The sequence below is a fragment of the Homo sapiens genome, chromosome 2, assembly GCF_000001405.40.
Source record: "Homo sapiens chromosome 2, GRCh38.p14 Primary Assembly".
In the NCBI taxonomy this organism is placed as follows: Eukaryota; Metazoa; Chordata; class Mammalia; order Primates; family Hominidae; genus Homo; species Homo sapiens.
In genome coordinates this window covers 238,208,220-238,217,730 of record NC_000002.12, presented here as the reverse complement: position 1 = coordinate 238,217,730, position 9,511 = coordinate 238,208,220, and the positions used below count along the sequence as shown (strand labels likewise).

At 44.2% G+C, this 9,511-nt stretch overlaps 1 annotated feature.

Moving 5' to 3' along the window:
• Nucleotides 1,262–1,514: a silencer, noted in NCBI's record as "fragment chr2:239124858-239125110 (GRCh37/hg19 assembly coordinates)". NCBI's record gives its function as "represses an EF-1alpha promoter that drives an FKBP-Casp9 reporter gene in an ReSE screen in HepG2 liver carcinoma cells {active_cell/tissue: HepG2}" and the evidence as "EXISTENCE:reporter gene assay evidence [ECO:0000049][PMID:32094911]".

Genomic DNA, 9,511 nt, shown 5'->3' with positions numbered 1-9,511 from the left:
TGGGCTCAAGCAGTCCACTAACCTTGGCCTCCCAAAGTGTTGGGATTACAGGCGTGAGTCACCATGCCCAGCCTGTTTTGAGTCTTTGATGTACCCACTCTGGGTACCAAATTTCTCTTCCAGTTACTATTGTGTAACAAATTACCTCCAAATTTAGCAGCTTCAAAAAAGCAAGGGTGCTTTGTTTTTTTTTTGTTTTTGTTTTTGTTTTCTTTTTTTTCTCGTGGTTTTGTAGGTCAGGAATTCACAAAGGGCTTAGCTGGGCAGGCCTTCCTTGAGGTCACTCAGGAGGTTGTAGTCAGATGTTGGTTGGGGAGGTGGAGCATGATGGCCAAATAGAAGCCTCCACCCATCATTCTCTCCACAGGAATGCCAAATTCTGCAACTATCTACACAGAGAAGTATCCCCCATAAGAAGCAAAAATCAGGAATCAGGTGAGCAATCACAGTACCTGGTTCTAACCTCGTATCACTGAAAGAGGCAAGGAAAAGGGTAGGAAAGACAGTCTTGAATTGCCAACAACCCCCCTGGCCAGTGCCCCCAGAAATAGCTGGCCATGTAGCATGGAGAGACAATCTGTGCCCTTGGAGGGGAGAGAACACAGTGATTGTGGGACTTTGCACTGGCACGCAGTGCTGCCAACACTGGGCAGAACTCAGCTGGCAACCATGGAGGGAGCAATTAAACAAGCCTTGACCAGAGGGGAATCACTCATCCCAGCAGTTGGAACTTGAGACTCAGCAAGCCTTGCCACTGCGGGCTGAAGTGCTATGGGATCCTAAATAAACTTAAAGGCAGTCTAGGTTACAAGGACTGTAACTCCTAGGCAAGTCCTACTGCTGTGCTGGGCTGAGAGCCAGTGGACATGGGGGACACACAGCCTAGTGAGACACCAGATGGTGCAGCTAAGGGAGTGCTTGCATCACCCCTCCCCCAACCCCAGGCAGCACAACTCACAACTCCAAAAAAGACCCCTTTGTTCTGCTTGAGGAGAGGAGAGGAAAGACTAAAAAGGACTTTGTCTTGCAACTTGGATACCAGCTCAGCCACAGTAGGATAGGGCACCAGGCAGAGTCATGAGGCCCTCATTCCAGGCCCTAGCTCCCGGATGACATTTCTAGACACACCCTGGGCCAGAAGGGAACTCACTGCCTTGAAGGGAAGGACCCAGTCTTGGCAGGATTCATCATCTGCTGATGAAAGAGCCCTTGGAATCTGAATAATCAGCAGTGGTAACCAGGTAGTACAGCCATGGGCCTTGAGTGAGACTCTGAGACATGCTGGTTTCAGCTGTGACCAGGACATTCACAGCTGTGGTGGCTATGAGGAGGGCCCCCTACTGCTTGAGAAAAGCAGAGGGAAGAGTAAAGGGGACTTTCTCTTGAACTTAGGTACCAGTTCAGCTACAATGGGGAAGAGCACCAAGCAGGCTCTTGGGGTCCCTGATTCTAGGCCTTGGCTTGAGATGGCATCTCTGGACCTACCCTGGGCCAGAGGGGAGCCCACTTCCTGAAGGATGAGTTCCAGGGCTGGCAGCATTCACCACAAGCTAACTGAAGAGCCCTTGGGCCTTAAATAAACATCAACGGCAGTACCCTCTGTGGGCCTGTGGTGGTGGTGGACATAAGAAGAGACTCCTCTGCCTGGGGAAGAGTGGGAAGGACTTTGTTTGGTGGTTTTGGCACCAGCTCAGCTGCAGTAGTATAGAGCAACAGTAGATTTCTATGGTTTCTGCTTCCAGACCCTGGATCCCAGGACTCACCTGGGGCCTGGGGGAATTTGCAATCTCAAGGTAAGGACACAAGCCTGGCTTGCATTGCCACCTGCTGATCATAGAGCCCTAGGGCCTTGAGTGAACACAGATGGTAGCTAGGTAGCAGTTATAGCAGGCATCGGGCAAGAACCAGTGCTGTGCCGGCTTCAGGTCTGACCCAGTACACTCCCAGTGGTGGTGGCCACAGGGGTGTTTGTGTTACCTTTCCCCAGCTCCAGGCATCTCAACACAGAGTGAGAGACTTTGTTTGTTTGGGAAAAAGTAAGGGAAGGGAACAAGAGTCTCTACCTGGTAATCCAGGGAATTCCTCCAGATCTTAGATCCTCTACGAGTCTGCAAGAACCACAGTGTTACTGGGCTTGGAGTAGTACCTAATGCAGCTACAGCTGCAGTGACCAAAAACATAGATCACAACACCTAAGTCTCATCAAATACCTGGAAAGCCTCCCCAAGAAGGACAGGTACAAACAAACCCAGAATGCGAAGACTACAATAAATACCTAACTATTCAATGCCTAGACACTGATGAACATCCATAAGCATCAAGACCATCCAGGAAAACATGACCTCACTAAACGAACTAAAAAGGCACCATAGACCAATCCCGGAAAGACAGACATATGTAAGCTTTCAGACAGATAATTCAAAATAGCCATTTTTTAGGAAACTCAAAGAAATTCAGGATAACACAGAAAATGAATTCAGAATCCTATCAGATAAATTTAACAGAGAAGTTGAAACAATTAAAAAGAAGCAGAAATTCTGGAGTTGAAAAATACAGTTGACATACTGAAGAAGGTATCAGAGTCTCTTAATAGCAGAACTGATAAAGCAGAAGAAAGAATTCGTGAGCTTGAATACAAGCTATTTGAAAATACAGTCAGAGGAGACAAAAGAAAAAAGAACGAAACAGAATGAAGAATGCCTTAAAGATCTAGAAAATAGCCTCAAAAGGGCAAATGTCAGAGTTATTGTCCTTAAAGAGGAGGTAGAGAGAGAGATAGGAGTAGAAAGCTTATTCAAAGGGATAATAACAGAGAAATTCCCAAAACTAGAGAAAGATATCAATATTCAAGTATAAGAAGGTTATAGAACACTAAGAAGATTTAACCCAAAGTAGACTACCTCAAGGCATTTAATAATCAAACTCCCAAAGATCAAGGATAAAGAAATGATCCTAAAAACAGCAAGATAAAAGAAAACAAACAACATACAATGAATCTCCAACATGTCCGGCAGCAGACTTTTCAGTGGAAACCTTACAGGCCAGGAGAGAGTGGCATGGTATATTTAAAGTACTGAAGAAAAAAACAAAACAAAACAAAAAAACAACCTTTTACCCTAGAATAGTAAATCTGGTGAAAATATCCTTCAAACACGAAGGAGAAATAAAGACTTTCCCAGACAAAGAAAAGCTGAGGTATTTCATCAACATCAGACCAGTCCTACAAGAAATGCTAAAGAGAGTTCATCAATCCCTTTTGTTGAAAGAAAAGAACAGTAATGAGCAATAAAAAATCATCTGAAGGCACAAAACTCACTGGTAATAAAAGGAAGACAGGGCTGGGTGTGTTGGCTCATGCCTGTAATTCCAGCATTTTGGAGGCCAGAGTGGGAGGACTGCCTGAGTCCAAGAGTTCAAGACTAGCCTGGACAACAAAGCAAGAGCCCATCTCTACGGAAAAATAAAAAAATTAGTCAGATGTGATATCACACACCTGTAGTCCCAGCTACTCAGGTGGTTGAGACAGGAGGGTCACTTGAGCCCAAGAGGTCAAGGCTGCAGTGAGCCATGACTGCACCACTGCACTCCAGTCTGGAAAACAGAGCAAGACTGTCTCCAAAAAAGGGTGTGGGGGAGACAGGAAGGAGGGAAAGAAGGAAGAGAAAACCAAAAGCAGCTAGAACACAACAAAATGGCAGGAGTATGTCCTTACTTATCAATAATAACATTGAATGTAAATAGACTAAACACTCCAATCAAAAGACATAGAGTGGCTGAATGGATTAAAAAACAAGACCAAATGGTCTGTTGCCTACATAAAACACTATTCACCTATAAAGACACACATAGACTGAAAATAAAAGGATGGAAACAGATATGCATGGAACTGAAAAAAGAGCAGGAGTAGTGATACTTAGATAAGACGGATTGCAAGACAAAAACTATAAAAAGAGACAACATCACTATATAATGATAAAGGGGTCAACTCAGCAAGAGGATATAGCAATTGTAAATATATATGTACCCAACACTGCAGCATGCAGATCTATAAACCAAACATTATTAGTGCTAAGGACAGTGATAGATTGCAATACAATAACAGCTGGAGGCTGGGCATGGTGGCTCACACCTGTAATCCCAGCACTTTGGGAGGCTGAGGCAGGCAGATCACCTCAGGTCAGGAGTTTGAGACCAGCTGGACCAACAGGGTGAAACCCCATCTCTACTAAAAATACAAAGTTATCTGGGCGTGGTGGCACATGTCTGTAATCCCAGCTACTCGGGAGGCTGAGGCAGGAGAATTGCTTGAACTCAGGAGGCGGAGGTTGCAGTGAGCCAAGATCACAGCACTGCACTCCAGCCTGGGCAACAAGAGCAAAACTCCATCTCAAAAAATAAAAATAAATAAAAAATAAAAAAAAACAACAGATGGAGACTTCAACACCCCACTTTCAGCATTGGACAGATCATCTGAAGAGAAAATCAACAAAGAAACATCACACTTAATCTGCACTACAGACCAAATGGACCTAATAGATATTTATAGAGAATTTAATCCAACAGTTTCAGAATATATTCTTCTCCTCAGCACATGGATCATTCTCAAGGATAGATCACATGTTAGGCCACAAAACAAGAATTAAAGCAGTCAAAGAAATTGAAGTAATGTCAAGTATCTTCTTTGACCCCAAGGGAATAAAACTAGAAATCAATAACAAGAGGAATTCTGGAAACTAGACAAACACATGGAAATTAAACAATATGCTCCTGAATGACCAGTGGATCAATGATGTGATTAAGAAGGAAATTGAAAAATATCTTGAAAGAAATGATAGTGGAAATACAACATACCAAAACCTATAGGATACAGCAAAAGCAGTACCAAGAGGGAATTTTATAGTTATAAGTGCCTTCACTAAGAAAGAAGAAAAACTTCAAGCTGGGGCCAGTGGCTCATGCCTATAATCCCAGAACATTGGGAGGCCAAGGCGGGTGGATCACTTGAGGTCAGGAGTTCAAGACCAGCCTGACCAACACAGTAAAACCCCATCACTACTAAAAATACAAAAAAAAGCCAGGCATGATGGTAGCCACCTGTAATCCCAGCTACCTGGGAGACTGAGGCACAAGAATTGCTTGAACCTGGGAGATGGAGACTGCAGTGAGCCAAGATCATGCCACTGCACTCCAGCCTGGGCGACAGAGCAAGACTCTGTCTCAAAGAAAGAAAGAAAGAAAGAGGCTGGGCACAGAAAGAAAGAAAGAGGCTCACGCCTGTAATCCTAGCACTTTGGGAGGCCGAGGCGGGTGGATCACGAGGTTAGGAGATCGAGACCACGGTGAAACCCTGTCTCTACTAAAAATACAAAAAATTAGCTGGGCGCGGTGGCGGGTGCCTGTAGTCCCAGCTATTTGGGAGGCTGAGGCAGGAGAATGTTGTGAACCCAGGAGGCGGAGCTCGCAGTGAGCCGAGATCGCGCCACTGCACTCCAGCCTGGCGACAGAGTGAGACTCTGTCAAAAAAAAAAAAAAAAAAAAGGAAAGGAAAGAAAGAAAGGAAGGAAGAAAGACTTCAAATAAAGAACCTAGTGATGCATCTTAAAGAAAAGCAAGAGCAAACAAAAGCCAAAGTTAGTACAAGAAAGGAAACAATAAAGATCAGAACAGGAAGAAATGAAATTGGAATGAAGAAGACAATACAAAAGATCAATGAGGTAAAAAGTTGGTTTTTTGAGGCTGGGTGCAGTGGCTCACACCTATAATCCCAGCATTTTGGGAGGCTGAGACAGGTGGATCACTTGAGGTCAGGAGTTTGAGACCAGCCTCGCCAACATGGCAAAAAATCCCATCTCTACTAAAAATACAAAAATTAGCTGGGCATGGTGGCGGGCACCTGTAATTCCAGGTACTCAGGAGGCTGAGGCAAGAGAATCATTTGAACTCGGGAGGCATAGGTTGCAGTGAGCTGAGATCACGCCACTGCACTCTAGCCTGGGCAACAGAGTGAGACTCTGTCTCAAAAAAAAAAAAAAAAAGAAAGAAAAAAAAGAAAAAGTTAAATTACACAAGAGCCCCAGGAAAATCCTGCCCTCTTCTTATCACGCCTCACTGAAGCTATGCTAAAATATACCAATTTGGACCCAGAATCTAGAGAAGGTCAAACTTTTTCTACCTCCAATTTATTTCCCAGATATCCAGAAAAAAAATTACAAAAACTAGAGGGTCCCCAGACATCTCGGTGGGACCTCCTAAATGCAGCCTTCTGTGTCTTTAACAACAGAGATGAGGAACCAAAAATTCAAAAAGACAAGCATCTCCATTTAAAATACCAGATGCTCACCTCTGCTGTCCAAAAGTCAATCACACAAAAGCCTCCCGATAACCCAAAAGGAAACTCTGCCACCTTTTTGGGAGTCTGTTTCCGATGTGGCAACCCTGGACACTGGGCAAAGGCTTGTCCTAACCCCCAGCCCTCCACCAAGCCATGCTCAACTTGTGGTCTTTGGGGACACTGGAAAATGGACTGCCCCCAATGGGGACACCTTCCCCATTCGGTGTGGCTCATAATGAAGTCCCCCAGCCATCCACAGGAGGAAATCTCTTCACTGCTGGTGCTGACAGCAGAGGACTGAAGGTACCCAGGATTCTTTGCCCCCATGTCTAGTGAGTCCACAGAACCCAGAGGGTAATTGGGACTGTATCTGGTAAGATTATTTCCTTTCTTTTGGATACTGGGGCTAGCCTATTGGTATTAACTGACTATCAAGGCCCGTTAGAACGTTCATCCATTTCTGTGTTGGTATGAAGGGCATACAAGAAACCCCATATAAAACACCGCCTCTATACTGCTCATTTCAGGGAGTCATCCTCACTCACTCTATTTTGGTCATTCCTCACTGTCCCACTCCCTTATTAGGAAGGGATATTCTACACAAACAGGGGGAATCATTCATTTATCGGCCCTACACCAAAGACACCCTTATTTATTATTATGTCAAGAACAGAAGCCCTCCTCAGACACTCCACATCAAACAGACTTAAATCTCAAATTTCTCAGCCATGTAAACCCCATCATATGGAACGCTGACTTCCCCATAATAGCTACCCACCATTCTCCAACCCAAATTTCATTGAAGAATCCTAAGCACTATATAGTGTTTCCAACATTGTCCCCTCAACCCTGATGGATTGCAGGGACTCAAGCCCATCATATCCTGATTTTGGGTGCCAGTATTTTAATCCCCACCCATTCTCCCCACAATACTCCTATTCTTCCAGTTAAAAAACCAGACAGCTCCTATAGACTGGTCCAGGATTTGTGACAAATCAACTCCGCTATTATTCCTGTTTGTCCCGTTGTCCCAAACCCCTACACCCTCCTATCACGAATTCCTCCCAACACTAGCCACTCCTCTGTATTAGACCTCAAAGATGCCTTTCTTACTATCCCTGTACATCCCTTCTCTCAAAACCTTTTTGCTTTCACTTGGGCTGATCCTGACACAGGCTACTCCCAACAACTCGCCTGGACTGTCCTCCCCCAGGGGTTTAGGGACAGCCCTCACTATTTCGGTCAGGCACTTCAATTAGACCTCTCCCAACTACCTCTACAACCCAGCATTTTGCTTCAATATGTGGATTTACTCTTTTGCACCCCCTCCCTAGAATACTGTATTCAACACATCACCAAGCTTTTACATTTTTTGGCTGAATGTGGGTACTGGGTATCCAAAAGAAAAGTTCAAAAATTTCATACCCAGGACTTATCATAACTCCAAATTCTGTCAGCACGAAAGCAAGGTGTTCAACAAATCCCATTTCCTAAAACAAAAAGGGACTTACTTTCCTTCTTCGGATTAGTGGGATATTTCCAAATATGGATAGCAAATTTTGCCATTGTTGCTATATCCCTTTATGAACACACAAAAGAAAATCTTGACCAACTCCTCACTCCCACCCCAGATCTTTATCATGCTTTCTCTCACCTAAAACGTGTGTTATTACAGGCCCCCACTTTAGGCCTTCCAAACCCCCTAAGACCTTTTAATCTGTATTTACACAGTTCTCATAATCAGGCCCTTGGTCTATTAGCCCAACTCATGGCAAACTCCCTCCAACCAGTGGTATATTTTCAAAACAACTAGACCCCATTTATAAAACCTGGCCCCCTTGCTTAAACATTTTGGTCACAACAGCAGCAATAATTATTCCTGAGGCACAAAATCTCATGTTTTATGAACCTCTTCAGGTATTTTCTTCTCACAGTCTACAAGATATGCTCAGCCACAAGGTGCTCACCTCCAGCTCATCCTCTCGCAGGCAAGCCCTACTTTCAACTCTCCTTCAACCCTCTATATCTCTTCATAGATGCTCCCTGACTAACCCCGCCACTCTTTACCTTCAACACCAATTTTAGACCCCGACCAACACTCATGCTCTGATCTAACTGGAAGTTCTCTATGTATCACCGCCTTACTTGCACTCACATAAAAGGAGACCCAGATTGGTTTATAGATGGGAGCACATCAAAACACTCTCCCCTCTAAGCAGGATATGCCATCATTGAAAGGATATCATGATGATACCCACTCTCTCCCACCTAGAAAGCCATAGAGGCTGCCCCCTTGCCTTTGGGCACATCCTCCCAACAAGCAGAATTAGTTGCCCTAATAAGAGCACTAACTCTAGCAGAAAACACACAAGTGAATATATACACTGATTCTAAATATGCCTGTAACGTTATCCATTCCAATGCCCAAATTTTGAGTGAGCAGGGCTATCTCATAGCTAAGGGAACCCCTATCATTAATGGAAAACTCATCCATCATCTATTAAAGGCAGCTATACTTCCAGAAAAGGTTGTGGTTATCCATTGCAAAGGACATCAATCAGACAAAAGCCACATTCCTTTAGGGAACCATGAGGCTGACTATTGGGCCAAACACGCCTCAGCCAACGACCCAATTCCCCAATACTTATTTCCCCTCACACAACATATGCCCTCCTTTTATCCAGAACACCAAACACAACAACCAATCACAGTAGGGGCAGACAATTTAAACCCCCATACTGGTTCATACAAAACAAATTAGTCCTACTTGACCCTGAAAAAACAATTTCTTCTATGGGACATTCACAACCTCTTCCACACTAGCCATTCCCCTCTACAGCATTTCTTAAGTTCCCATATATACATAACCCCAGACATAAAGGAACAGTTAAAAGCCATTTCCCATCAATGCTCTGTTTGCAAAAAAGCTTCACCCCACTTCAACACTAGACCCTCTTCTTTTCTAACCCATCAATCCAAGGGACACCTTCCAGAACAGGACTGGCAAATTGGTTTTACCCACATGCCCCCAGTAAAAAGGGTTTGATTTCTTTTAGTTCTGGTTGATACCTTTTTGGTACGGGTCGAGGCCTTTCCCACAACCAACAAACGAGCTCCTACTCTCCAAATTAATAACAGAAATCATCCCCAGGTTCGGGGTGCCTCTTTCTTTTCAATCTG